At 52.6% G+C, this 13,892-nt stretch overlaps 1 protein-coding gene across 2 annotated transcripts; it reads right to left on the reverse strand.

The window, feature by feature from the left end:
* Positions 1,699 to 6,330, reverse strand: KRT13 (keratin 13). 2 transcript variants are annotated; one of them, NM_153490.3, is made up of 8 exons: positions 5,774 to 6,330; positions 4,361 to 4,443; positions 4,005 to 4,161; positions 3,655 to 3,816; positions 3,405 to 3,530; positions 3,092 to 3,312; positions 2,437 to 2,462; positions 1,699 to 2,080 (listed from the first exon to the last, which is right to left on the reverse strand). In NM_153490.3, the coding sequence occupies exons 1-8, from the start codon at positions 6,266 to 6,268 to the stop codon at positions 1,974 to 1,976; spliced, it is 1,377 nt and encodes a 458-aa protein (NP_705694.3). In that variant the 5' UTR covers positions 6,269 to 6,330; the 3' UTR covers positions 1,699 to 1,973. The 2 variants fall into 2 exon arrangements, with proteins under 2 accessions (NP_705694.3, NP_002265.3); NM_002274.4 differs by lacking the exon at positions 2,437 to 2,462.

Genomic DNA, 13,892 nt, shown 5'->3' on the forward strand with positions numbered 1-13,892 from the left:
CACCTCTGCCTTTCATCAGCACTGACAGAGCCCACCTGCACTCTATTGGATGAGAGACCCCCCCCCCCCCGCCCGCTTTGAGGAAGGCACAGCCCTGCCTTTCTCACTGTCACTTCAGTGACACTTCAGCGATACTGTCAGTTCTAGGACAGGTGGGCACACACATGTGAACACCCAAGTGTGCCCCACCCCAGCCAGGTGCTGCAGAGGAGGGGGCATCCATCTCAGTCTGAATTTTGAATAAAAAACTGGTAGTCTCCAATAAAATGATGACAGGAGTGTGGAGAGAGAGGAGAGAAGAAGGTTGGGTCAGACAGAGGTCTGTCACCGAACAAAATCCCCAGGGTGCCCAGCCACCTGCCTGCTTCCTCAAGGGCAGTTTGGGATGGCAGGAATTTGGGGTGAGTGAGGGAGGCTAGTGTAGGAGCCAGAGCTGGGGAGAGGCCAGAAGAAGCTGCACCACCAGGACCTGGAGGCAGGCGAGGTGTCTAGGCTTTCCTCAGTGACCAGCAGGGAGCGATTGGGGTGTCTCTAAGCTGAGAAGAAGACTCAGTTTCCAGTAATCACCCCTGCTGGAGTGTGGAGCATGGAGGCAGGGAGGCCAGTGAGGAGGCTGTGGCCACGTGCCCATAGTTAGGACCAGGAAGGACATTATGGCTAATGCAGTGTCCACGGGAAGCATTGTGAAGGGGGTGAGGGACAGAGGAGGCCAGGATGACTCCTGGGCTCCTGGCTCAGCTTTCCAGGTTCTCCGGGATAAAGGGCAAGGAAGGAGCAGATCTGGGAGGATGATGGGAGCTCTTTTGCCTGGGTGGATTGAAGGAGGTGATGTCTGGCTCACTGTTGGCAATGGGAGTCTGAGGCTGGGAGGGGCCTCAGTGGAGATTCGAGTTTGGGCGTTATCAGAACATACAGGCAACTGTAACCATGGTTATGTCCTGGATGACCCACAGGGACAGTGAAGAGGAAAAAGAGAAGAACACCCACACCGGAATCCAGGAGGTGAGTCAACGTGCAAGGAGTGAGCAGAGCAGGAAGAGGTTGCGAATCAGAGCAGGGGCAGCCAAAGCGGCAGGGAGAGAGTGGGGAGCACAGAGAGAAGGGGCCAGGTTAGTGCAGCGGCCAGCCAGGGAGCTGGTCCCAGGAGTGGTTGGGAGTGGCAAGACCTAGGGGTGGGCTGGGGAGGACATTAGGAGTGGATGCCTCAGGCCAACAAGGAGCCATTTGCCTGAGAATAAACCTCTCTGCAGGAAGCAGGGAGGTGGCAGGTGGGGGCTGGGCCTCCTTCTCCCCAGATCACCCCTTCACTGGCCCCTTGCAGCCTGCCCCAGAGGCATCTGTACTTTTTGCCCATGTTTCACGCTCCCTTGACTCTACTATCAGCTGCCATTCTCACTGAACATCCTAATCTGCAAGGCTGTTGAACTGGCTCACGTGCCCCTGCGCTGTCTCTGGTGTGTTCCGTCTGTCCATGTCTGCTGGACACCATCGTCTGTGAGCTGCCTGTGTCCCCTGTGTTTGCCGTTGTTGTGTCTGTGTGCTCAGATGGCCCATGGGCCTATGTCTGTCCTTCCTAGATAGGAAGCTCCCCAGGCTTGTCGTTGTCTGGATTAGCTACTCCGCCCAGCTGTGTCCCCCTCACCCGCTAAACCAGGGCCCTAGCAGGGGCCACCTAAGAAACCAGGCCAGAATCAAAAATATGTTTGCAGAAAGGCAGGAAACTTTATTGAATAATCTTTTCTTTGGGGTAGAGAAGTTGAGAAACCAAAGCGTATCCAGGTCAGAGAGGAGAGAGATCCGACCGGAAGAGAAGAGCACAGAGGGCCCACCATCAGGAGAGAGTCAGGACAGGGGGTCCTGAGAGCAGAGGGACTGAGCCTTGGGTCCAGCAGCCCCTCCTCTCTCCTGCAGGGAACTGCCGGCTCTCTCCTCCTCTGGGTGCTGAAGACAGAGGGAGGGGACGCCAGGCAGATTTAAGGCCTACGGACATCAGAAGTGCGGCGACCAGAGGCATTAGAGGTGGTGGTAACAGAGGCACTAGAAGTCGTGGTAACAGAGGTGCTACGGGGGCTGACGCTTCCTGGGAAACAAGAGACAAGACATGCTCAGGCTGGAGAAGACCCACCTCAGGACAGGGCAGGGCCCCCCTGGAGGGCTCACAAACTCCTCATTAGTCAGGTGGTGCGTGGATGGAGACTCTTTATTGTCCCCAAAGATGGCTCTTCCCAAGACAGCCAAATAGCTCTGTGGGGCAGAGCCATCAGTTTCAAAAGGAAAATCAGTGAGCGAATGACCACTTCCACCCCAGCTCTCCCCCTCCCTACACTGGAGAGCCCAGCACTGGCTCCCTCCCTCCCCGCCAGCTCCCACCCCCATTGGGGCAGTGAATGGGAGGCTAACTCTGCCTCCCCCTACACCACGGGGCTGTTCCCTTACCTGCTGAGGAAGGGAAACCAATCATCCTGGGAGAGAGGACAGAGGTGGCCATGAGCAGAGGGTAACTGAGGGCAGGTGCTTACCTGTTCCTCTGGGGAAGTGCCTCGGCTTATCATTTCAAGCCCCTGGGCTGGACTCTAGTGCCTCCTAGCTGTGCCCCCAGCTCAAGGGACAGCAGCATCAGGTGCCCACTGGGACTGTCTGTCTTTCCTGTCTGTCTGTCTGAGAGGTCTCAAGGGGAGATATTATTAGCCACAAGATTCAGGGTGTTTGTCTTCCCTCTGGATCGCCCAAACCCGCAACCCTCCACCTGAGCCCTGAGCCCACAGGGGTGGCTTGATTTCTGCAAAGGGTCTAAAGGCAGTTAAAGCACCATAGTAATAGCTTTGTTCAGCTGAGCTGTATCCAAGCTCATGTTTTTCCAATATCAGATGTTCCCTCCATGGTCTCTGTTCCCTCCAGTCTAACTTGGAGGCCCAAATTAGAAAGTTTAAAGGTGTTAACCCTGCAGCCTACCAAGGAAATGTCCCCGTAAAGTCAGACAGTGAGGGGTCTCCTCTCTGACATGAGGGGGTGGATCTCTAAGGCCCTGCCTGCTCTGACACCCACGGGTCCTGCAGTCACTATCCTAAGAAAGAGGCTGGAGAGGACCTACTTGGCGTCCTGGCCCTCGAGCAGGCTGCGGTAGGTGGCGATCTCCTGCTCCAGACGTGTCTTGATGTCCAGCAGCATCTTGTACTCTTGGTTCTGGCACTCCATCTCACTGCGGAGCTCGCTCAGCTGGGCCTCGATGCTGCTGATGAGTCCCTGGATCTGCTGCAGCTGCAGGGCATAGCGGCACTCCGTCTCTGCCACCGTGTTCTCCAGCCCCGCTTTCTGGTGGAGCGACAGACAAGAAGTTACAGAGGGAGCCAGGCCAGAGGGAAACCTAGAGGTGGTCGCCACCGGGCAGGAGGCTGCAGGCATACCATGCTCAGCTGGGACTGCAGCTCAATCTCCAGGCCTTGGAGCGTGCGCCTGAGCTCCGTGATCTCTGTCTTGCTGGTCTGAATCATGGCAGTGTTGGTAGACACCTCCTTGTTCAGCTCTGCACTCTGAAATGCAAGCAGGAAGAAGGTGGTGGGGAAGCTCAGCTCGAGCAGCCTGACCAAGAGGCTGTGTCCGCCCGGCCCCCCTGGCTATATGGGATGGGCTATGTGGGGTGGGAGGGCCGGGTACCTTGGTGTGGAACCATTCCTCAGCATCCCGGCGGTTCCTCTCTGCCATGGCCTCGTACTGCTCCCTCATCTCTGCCAGCACGCGGGTCAGGTCAATGCCTGGGGTGGCATCCATCTCCACGTTGACCTGGCCGACCACCTGGTTGCTAAATTCCTTCATCTCCTGTGGGGATGGGAAAGGAAGATGTGTGAGGCTACTCATCCTCCCTCTCCTTGGCTCTGAGTGCTGGCAGAGTGTTCTGGAGAGTGTTTCCAGGTCCCACAGTGGAGGACTGTGTCCAGTTGCAGGGGAGGGCTCCTCCTTCTCACTGGAGGTTGTTGAGCCCAGGGCAGCCTGCAATTCCCGCTCACCTCTTCATGGTTCTTCTTCATGTAGGCTAGCTCTTCATTCAGGCTCTCGATCTGCATCTCCAGGTCAGTCTTAGACAGAGTGAGCTCATCCAGCACCCGGCGCAGGCCGTTGATGTCGGCCTCCACGCTCTGGCGCAGGGCCAGCTCATTCTCATACCTAAAATAGTAAAAAAATGAAATGTTTTTTGAAAAAGCAAGACATAAATGATATGAGACATTCTCCCTACCCCTGCACGAGACTCCAGTACTTCCAGACCTTCACTCCTGGGATGCTCCAGTGTCATTGGTCAGATGAGCTTTTGTCTAAACTAAGAGACTCCTGGGAAAGGAGAGGGAGGGGGAAAAAAAAAACTCACTTGAGCCTGAAGTCGTCCGCAGCCAGCCTGGCATTGTCAATCTCCAGGATGACCCGGTTGTTTTCAATGGTGGCGGTCAGGATCTACAAAATGCAGAAGAAGGTAACCTCTAGGGCATGGGTGTCCAGTCTGTTGGCTTCCCTGGGCCACATTGGAAGAAGAATTGTCTTGGGCAACACATCAAATACGCTAACACTAACGATAGCTGATGGGCTAAAAAGAAATTGGCAAAAATAAAAAATAAAAAAAAACTCAATGTTTTAAGAAAGCTTACAAATTTGTGTTAGGCCTCAATCAAAGCTGTCCTGGGCCACATGCAGCCCACCGGCCACAGGTTAGACAAGCTTGCTCTGGGGGGTCCACGTGCTTGAGGAGGTGGCCTGGGAAAACATGGGCAGGACCTGGTTCCCATGGGGCTCTACCTCTAAACTGTCCTGTGAGCTGGGACAAGGCATTTCCCTCTGGGCCTCCATTGCTCTTCTGTAAAGTGAGGAGTGGGGCTGCATCCCCTCCAATCGTTTCTAACACTTTAATATTCCATGTCTGAGCACCCTGGGGGAGATGCAGGGAGTGCATTTCTGAGGAACGACCTGCTGAGAACATCTTTGGTTCGTCATGTCTTGGCAGCCTCAGACTAGCACCCTCCCTAGGCCACTGTCTTGAGATCCATCCCCTGAAAGTCAGGAGGGACTCGGCTTGGTGCCACATATCTCACAATCACTTTGCTAGAGCTGACTTCCCAGCTGAGTGGAGGGGAAATCCAACAAATATTCCCATCCCTTTGAATTTCTTGTCTAAACGTTTATATTCCAAAGCAGTGAAAGCCTGCTCCACATGGCTGAGACTCAGCCCAGGCTGGTAGATTTCTGCTCCAACAGGCTGGTATCACAGCACAACAGACAGGGCTCAACAAAGGGCACCCAGGCTCGGCACTGCCTAAGCCTCTGCCTCTCTCTCCCCCAACTTGGCCATCGCCAGTTGAGAATACCAGTTTGAATGGGTCCCCTACAAAGTAAACAATTATTCCCAGGGCAATGAATGAACACGTCTCTCTTTCTCTGTTGATTTCATGCATTCTTAATGGCTTTTAAACCTGTCATGTTTCCAGATAACTCAGTAGGTTAGGATTATAGAGATCGAGTCATGAATAACATAACTGTCTGGAAAGCAGTAAAAAAACTGACCTGAGTAATAACAATCATAAAAATGAATAATGAGAGAAAATGCATTTGGGGAGTTGTGGCATGAGAAAGCCCATCAGAGGTAGAGACTCTTGGTAGTCAAACAGTAGGCTTTTCCCCTGCAAGAAGTTTGTGAATTCCGTCCACACCTAGTCCCCCACAACACTGTGTTTCTTGGCCTTGGAGGCTCTGCCCTTCATGGAGGACCCCTCCTCAGCTTCCAAGGGCTCACCTTGTCCCGGAGCTCTTCAATGGTCTTGTAGTAGGGGCTGTAGTCCCGCTCAGGGCTAGCTGGGCTCTGCTTCAGGTGCCAGTCACGGATCTTCACCTCCAGGTCAGCGTTGGCCTCCTCCAGGGCGCGCACCTTCTCCAGGTAGGAAGCCAGGCGGTCGTTGAGGTTCTGCATGGTGATCTTCTCATTGCCAGTGAGGAGGCCGCCATCACAAGCACCAAAGTCAACAAAGCCACCAGCAAAACCCCCACCAAAGCCACCTCCAAGGCCACCTCCATAGCCACCTCCAAGGCCACCTCCATAGCCACCTCCAAAGCCACTACCAGCCCCTCCACCAAAACCACAGCTCACGCCGCCTCCATAGCCCCCAGCTGATCCCCCGGACACAAACCGAGTTGAACAGGTAGAGACACCACGGCCTCCTCCCAGCTGGCAAGAGCCACCCCCGAAACCACCTCCATAGCTGGCAGAGGAGCTCTGCAGGCGGAGGCTCATGGTGAGAGCAGGATTGAGAGCAGGTGCAGATAGAAGCTTGCTTGGCCTGGGCCGAGGACTGTGGCTCTTCCCCAGAGTGGACACCTTTTATACACCTCCATAGGGGCTGGTTATCTTCTCTCCTCCCTTCCCCACCCTCTGACTTGGTGCCAACTACACTTCTGTTTCCCACAAGCTTAGTTATCTCTGATCTCTCCAGGGTGGGTTGTGCCTTTTGGGGGTGGCTTTTTTTTTAATCCTTAACAAAAAGAATGATTCAGAGGGGACAGCATTCTGCCTGAGACTGCCCTTTTGACAAGTGAATTCTGTTTCACCTCCACTTAAGGAGTTCACTGTGCAGGCTCTGAGCCCCACCCAGTATTAGAACGGGACCTGAGATGCGGAGGCCTGCCAGGAGCTTCTGCGAGGAAAGTGGTGGGTGCAGAGTGGCTCTGTGCTTTGCAAGGTCACCGTAGCCCTCGACCTTCCTTTTTTCTATACCTAAAACTTCTGACTGGGATGTCCTGGATCCTTCTTAGCACTTCATCTACTCCAGGGGCCCCAGCAACTCTGATGACAAACTTTGCTTGGTTCGATAGAATCACCTGCCTTGAAAGTATTTAGACTGAGAAAGAAATAGCTCCGAGGCCATCAGAAAAAGTCACAGTGACAGAGACCTTAAGGGATCTTAGGGACCATCAGACACAGCTGTGGAAACTCAGGCATGGAAAGAGGAAGTGGCCCTGTCCATTATCATAGCGAATATTCTCCGAGCCCTCACCATAGGCAGGAACTGGGTGAAGTTACTTTACACTCATCATCTCATTTAACCTTCACAGCAGCCACAGGAGGAGGGTCCTACTATTGCCCCCATTTACACATGAGGAAAATGAACCTTAAGGGCAGAATCAGGACTGAAATCCAAGTCTGGTTCTGTCTGACGCTAAGGTGCATTTTTTAGGTACATTTTTCATACAGTAAAATGTATAGATCACGTGTCCAGCTTGATGTCACGCATGGGTATGCACGACCTGTGTAAACACCACCCAGGACATTCCCAGCATTCCATAAAGGTCCTTGTACCTTTTCCCAGTCAATTACCTGACTCCACACCCCTGGTGTAACCACTCTTCCAACTTCTGTCCCCATAGACAAGTTCAGAGGTCCTCAGCTAGAGGCTGCTTTGCTCTCCAGGGGACGTTTGACAATGTCTAGGAACATTTTGGTTGTCACAACTTGGGGGCACTACTGATAGCTAAACACCAGGTATGCTGCTAAACATCCTATAAGGTGCAGGACTGTCCCCACAGCAAAGAATTATCAGACCCAAAATATCAATAGTGTTGAGGTTGAGATGCCTGGGTCAGTCTGGCCCTCGGGTTGAATCACTCCATTACGCTGACTGCTTTAGGGCACAGTCACATCCAGGAAGACGGCCCTGTAATAATGTGAGCAGGGTCCTTTCTAGTACGCCAGTCATATGAGGTCTGTCCCAGCCAAGAGGCCACATAAGAGGATGTGACACAGGACCCAGGGCCAGGGTCTCAGCTTAGGATCCTGAGATGTGGCTGAGAAACTCAGGGACTATGTAAGAACCCTGCCAGAGGGAGCTTCCCCATTCAGGCTGGGAGAAAAGGACCTCAGATGGCATCTGTGAGGCCAGGATAGAAGGTCCTCCATTCCAGGGCTGACAATGGAGGACCCTGAATGCAGACTCCCAGGCCCCACTCACCAAGGGGCCAGGGTTGCTGTGGATGGCATCTTGGGAGCAGCTTTCTGGCCCACAGCAGCCACAAAGGTCTGGATGATACCAGGCCAGGGGCTGGGTGGGGTGGCACAGGCATGAGGTTCTCCTGGAACCCCCTTCACTGATTCAGCAAGATCAGAAAGGAGAAATCTGAGTCAGGGCTTTCTGGGCCTTTGTTTTCTGGGGTAGAGAAGCGGGCCTGTGCTTCCCGCAGGGGTATCAGCAGGGACAGAGCCAGGGCACGTTGCCAGTGTTCTAACAGCCTTGCGAGGCCAGGGATTCAGGCTAACCCCTGACCCTGCCCGGCCCTCCTGCCCAAGCTGATGGCTCAGCTCTCTCTCTCTCTCTCTCTCTCTCTGAAAAGGGGTGATTCAGCCCAAAGCAGGAGCTCTTGCTCTCTCGGTAGAGGATCAAAACTGACAAGAAGGTGATTAATGGAACCTGCCATGCCTGGGGTAACAATGCCCCAAACCTCCCAGAGCTGACAAGCAGGTTCAGGCCAACGCCTCTTAGAGTAACAATGCTGCAGATCCTCCAAAGCCCCAGTAACACAAACACGGAGTGGCCCGTGACATTCCTTCCTTTGCGGGGTCAGGGCACAGCCTCTGCCCGCTTAGCGGGGACTTGTAATGCCTTGACACAGGACTGCCTTCCTCCAACCCGCAGTGAATCCCAGAGCCCTCTGGGAGGAAGCTAGGCAGAGATCCAACCAGGGACCCATCTTTTTTCCTATTTCCACCCTGGTCCTAATGGAAGAAGGAGAGAGCGCTGGGGCTGAGGCACTGCTACCTCGTCTTAAGCTTTCTGCTTTGTTTTTTGGCAAAAACAACAACAACAACAAAAAGAAACCCAATGACTGCGGTCTCCTCCCAAGAACGTTTCAAGGGAAGGAGCAGCAAAACTGCATTATGAGTACCCCTGCAAGCAAGGCTGGGCTTAACACACTGTCACCAAGTCTCACAACAGGAGAGGGTTTAAGTCAGCCCCATTTTATAGATGAGGCAGCCAAGGTTCAGGGAGGGAAAGTCACTTATCCAAGGATACCAAGAAAGCAAGATTTAGACCTGGCTTCTGGCCTTCTCTACCCTGATGACATCTCAGCAACCTTGCTGTGAATTCAGATGTATGATCTCTGAATGTTCTTAAAACCCTTGTAATTCCCTGAGTAATAAGGGTGCTAGGAGCATCTTAGTTCTAATGTTTAGTCTTTAAGCCCAGTTTCTGACATAGAACTTTTACTCCCTTAGAATCTCCTAGTGAAAGGAGCGTCTTCTGTTCTAATGAGGTGATTCTTGGTGAGCTCCCGGAGGGAGGCTGGTCACCACAAAGACTTTCAGCCCACCCCATCGCTGGTCCTCCGGGAAGGGGAGAGGGGCCGGACATTGAGTTTGTAATTGACTATGGCTATGTGATGAAGCCTCCATACAAATCCTTAAACTATGGAGTTCAGAGAGCTTCCAGGTTGGTGAACAAGAACACATCCATGTCCCAGGAGCATGGTGCACCCCAGCTTCACAAGGACAGATGCTCCTGCTCTCAAGACACCTCTGCACCTCGCCCTGTGTATCTCTTCATCTGGCTGTTCATTTTTATCCTTTAAAATACCCTTTGTCATAAATTGGCAACAATAAGTGCACTGTTTTCCTGGGTTCTGCGAGCTGTGCTACCAAATTATTGAACCCGAGAAGGGGGTCATCAACCCCTTGTGGTGATCTGTAGCCAAGTCAGACAGAAGTTGTGGGTCACCTCGGGACCTACTCTTTGCAGTTGGCATCTGAAGTTGGCTGTGGGGGCAGCCTGGTGGGACTGAGCCCCTAATCTGTGGGGTCCGTGCTAACTACAGTTAGTGTCAAAATAACATTGACTTCTAGGACACCCAGTTGGTTTCAGAGGATTGTTTTGTGGGAGGACACAGAACTGTTCTATGTTGAGCATGGGTATAGATAGGAAAAAGTAGGGGTTTTTTTCTATATTCACATTCTATATATGTTAAAAGATAATAAAAATAACACTAGCTAACATTTATTGAAGCCTCGGTTAAGCACTCCACAGATGTAATCTCATTCGGTCCTCAAAGCCACTCTATTGTTTTTATTATACCCTTTTCTCAGGTGAGAAAGCTGAGGCCCAGAGAGGTTAAACATGTTTCCCAAACTCGAAAGTGCTATCGTGTCCATGGTAAGCCCCTTTCAGGCCAGTGCTGGCACCATCCCCACCCAAGCAAGGTTATCTTCTGTGGCCTTTCCCTTTCTCAGGCCAACCTGTCACCCCAGGCCGGGCCGGTGGACTGTCCTGCTTCCCGCCCGTGGGAGTGCTCATTCAGCACAAAATTGTTGTAGGAACTTTCTCATCCAACCCCCTCATGTCACCTGTGGGGAATCTGAGGCTCAGAATGCCAAGGCCCAGAATACTGAAGTCCAGGAATAAGCGGAATAAGGGGGGAAAAATGCATGAATTTCCAGCTGTACCACCAGCTCATCATGGGCCATACATTGAAATGATTTCTAAGTTTCCTTCAGCAAGTTGCCTTTCTGAGTCTCTGATTCTCAAAGATTTGTCCACAGTCATTAGATTGTTTATCTGCAGAGGTGAGGCTTCAACCCTGTCGCTCAGACTCTAATCTGGAATTCCTTTCTTGGATCAGGCACCTCTCTCCCTGGACTCCATGGGACCTAGAATCCAGGATGACTGACCAACCTCAAAAAGGGTCTCAAGGCTCCTCCACAGGGAAGAGGCCTCTCCTGAAAGGCAACCCTTCCCCAGAGAGTCACCCCAGGCCCTCTGGGCAGCTCCCACTCCTCAGAGATGCCTGCTTGGCACAGCACCACCCAGAAGTCTTTCAAGGCTAAGCCTCAATGCCTTAGGCTCTTGCATTTCTACAGCGCCCAACTTTTTAAAATCCCTTTTACACCACCACTGGCTTCTCAGATACCCAGTGAACTCAGCAAGGGCTTTGGACAGGGTAGACCTGAATTTCAATCCTCCATCCACCACCGACTCACTGTGTAATCTTGGGAAAGTCACTCAACCTCTCAGTGCTTCAGTGGTCACCACTGAAAAATGGGCACTAGATGAGTTAATATTCCAGGCTCCTCAGATACCTGAGACACAGGAGGTGCTGGGCAGGCAGGAGGTTGCTACTGCCTCCCTTTTACAAATGAGGAAATGCAAGCTCAGCATTGCTCAGTGACCTGTCAGAATTCCTCTAAGCCTCCACCCAGCAGGGACACATTGCTTTGCTTCCCTTCCTTTTCTGGTCCCTACAGTCAGCATGGCGCCCACAGCAAGCAGGCAAATGACAGGAGGTGGATTTCCTAATTTACTTCTCCCACTCCATCTCAGGTTGCCTGATGATGGGACCTTTGCTGAATATACCCCCAAATCCTGCTCCTGGCACAGGAAAGCTCAGGATAAATGCCTGAGATGCTGTTTCGGGGACATTTTGTCCCCTGGCTTTAGGTGAGGATTGGCAAACATGAGTGGTGTCCAATGGGGTCACCCCAGCTCCAATTCAGGAGAGCTGCTGGTGGTAATAGAAAAAAAAAATCTCAGGAGAAAAGCTGTCTGCTCCTTATTTCCCCCGTGCTGCCAGCTGCCCATGGAGGGACAGGTGGCCAGGTGGCCACCAGGTGGGCACATGCCCAGCATACTGATGAATGTCTAAGGCAGGAAAAAGCAAAGGAGAAGCAAGTTCACGCATTAAACAAATATTTATTTAGCACTCGCACTGAAAATTCAGCAGTAAAGACAGTGAACATAGTCCCTGCTGTCACAGCCTCCCGTCTGAGGTCCCAGGATACAGATCATCTCATAGAGACCCTCAGGATCATCTTGTCCAGCCAGACTCCCAATTGAAAAGTGGGGAAACTGAAACCCAGAGAGAGGCAGGGGCCAGCCACAGTCCTCAGGGAGATAGCAGCAAGCATGTCTTATGCCTGGTCTAAGAAGCCCAGCCTGAGCAGGGGACACACCCAAGGCCCTAATCTCTGGTCGGAAAGCCGCCCTCTCTCTATGGGGAGAAGGGAGGGGCATCACCCACTGCCTGCTTCTCTGATTGGCTGGAAACCAAGCCTGACCTCAGCCCAGGGCACTCAGAAGGTGTACCCTTGCTGCCCAGAGACTATTAAAGGCTCAGCAGGGCATGAGCCATCCCTGGATGCAGGTGTCTCACTCCAGGGTCAGGTTGGGAACGGGACTTGGCAAGTTCCGAGGATTTCTCTGACAGCCCCTCCAGGCATCCCAGGAGAGCAGAAACAGGTACTTCAGGGAGATAGGAGATTTTCCTCCTACCCCCAAGCCAGAGTCTGGCCCAGAGAGAAGGCACACTGGACGCAGCCCATAGGCGAAGTCATCTTGCCTCTCTGCACCTTTCACAGTCGTTGTTAGTTTTGGAAACTAAAGGCTGAGAAAACCCTTTGCTGGCTGTTTGGGAGGCCTGAGACCTCTTGACAGAGGCCCGAAGGCCAGTGAGGCAGAAGCAGCAGCCAGGCCACCAGCTTCTACTGGCAGGAGCCGAAGAGAGGTGGGAAGGAGACTGGCTGTTCCCAGGACGTGGGGGATCTGGCAGCTAGCTAATGGTTTGGATGTCAGGGTGAACTTAAACCACAGCATGAGAGACTAAGGTTAGACGTGAGGACAATCTTTCTGACGTTAATGACTGTATGGCATTTGGCATGCTGCCCGCAGAGGTTAAGAAATGGGTTTCTGTCGGGCGCAGCAGTTCACTCCTATAATCCCAGCTACTCGGGAGGCTAAGGCAGGAGGATCACTTGAGGCCAGGAGCTGAGACCAGCCTGGGCAACAGAGCGAGACCTGGCCTCTTATAAAAAATTTAAAAACAAAAGATGGGTTTTAGATTTTTAGTTAGCATATCTCTTAAGAAAAGTGTTGCAGCTTCTGTCACCTCACGACTTAAAGGGCAAAGCGAGGGTCTGGAATCAGAGCGACCAGTCCCAGACCCAGCTTCACCATTTCCTGGCTTGTGACCTCATTCAGGTTACTAAACTTCTCCAGGCCTCAGTTTCCTCTTCTGAAACTGACGCTGAAGGCTGATACTAACTTAAAGAGCTATTGGAAGAATTAATGAGATGCCATCCCGGAATGCCCAACCCAGGGCCTGACATATCATAGACACTCACTAAATTCCATTTCCTTCCTCCAGCCCCAGGAAGTCTCACCTGTGTGCGTTCTCAGGAGACACATTCTTAATTAAATCTCCCCTAGAAAGAGCAGGCACCACTTTACCTCCAACCAGGGGTTTGTGGGGAAGAGGCTTTGCACAACAAGACACATGGGGACCCTCTCAGAGGGCTTGACCCTTCCCCCAAAAGATCGGATTCTCCAAAGACAGAAGCACCTCCAATCTGCTCTTCCCAGTGAGACCAAGAAACCGGTTCTCCCTCCCCACCCCCAATTCTCACCCCAGTTCCTGAGCCAGCCCAGCCTCTGCACCCAGAGTTCTGTGCTTCCTCATTTTCTGCCCTCGGTTTGGGACGATAAATGCAAGAGCTCAGAGAAAACAGCCTGAGACCAGAGGCCACAAACAATGTGTGCATGGATGCTACCGCTCTAGAAGGACTCTGGTGGAGATGCTGGGGATGGGGGAGCAGGAGCAGGATTTGGATTAAGGAGGGTAAGAGGGGTTGATGATGCTTTCAACTTAATCTTGGGAAAATCTCGAGGGCTTCCTGGAGCTGGTGTCTTTCCCTCTGGGCAATATAAGTGCCTTTTGGGAGGAGGCATCAGCTTCAGGGGGGATGGGGCCAGCTCTGCAGGGGAGTCAAATTGGGAACTGGCTCGGCCACTCTGGAGGTGTTATGCCTGGCTAGAAAGGATGGGAGATTGGAGCAGCACATGTGGTGAGGGTCAGAAGCAAGGAGCAGGGTCCTGGCAGCAGGC

This window comes from Homo sapiens, chromosome 17 (genome assembly GCF_000001405.40).
Source record: "Homo sapiens chromosome 17, GRCh38.p14 Primary Assembly".
Classification (NCBI taxonomy): domain Eukaryota; kingdom Metazoa; phylum Chordata; class Mammalia; order Primates; family Hominidae; genus Homo; species Homo sapiens.

Excerpts from the sequence above, each read along its gene's own strand:
- KRT13 (NM_153490.3), bottom strand. The coding sequence starts at position 6,268 with ATGAGCCTCCGCCTGCAGAGCTCCTCTGCCAGCTATGGAGGTGGTTTC. Across the intron at positions 4,162-4,360 it reads GCGGACGACTTCAGGCTCAA|GTATGAGAATGAGCTGGCCC; the intron begins GTGAGTTTTTTT and ends TTACTATTTTAG. Across the intron at positions 3,313-3,404 it reads TGCAGTCCCAGCTGAGCATG|AAAGCGGGGCTGGAGAACAC; the intron begins GTATGCCTGCAG and ends TCGCTCCACCAG.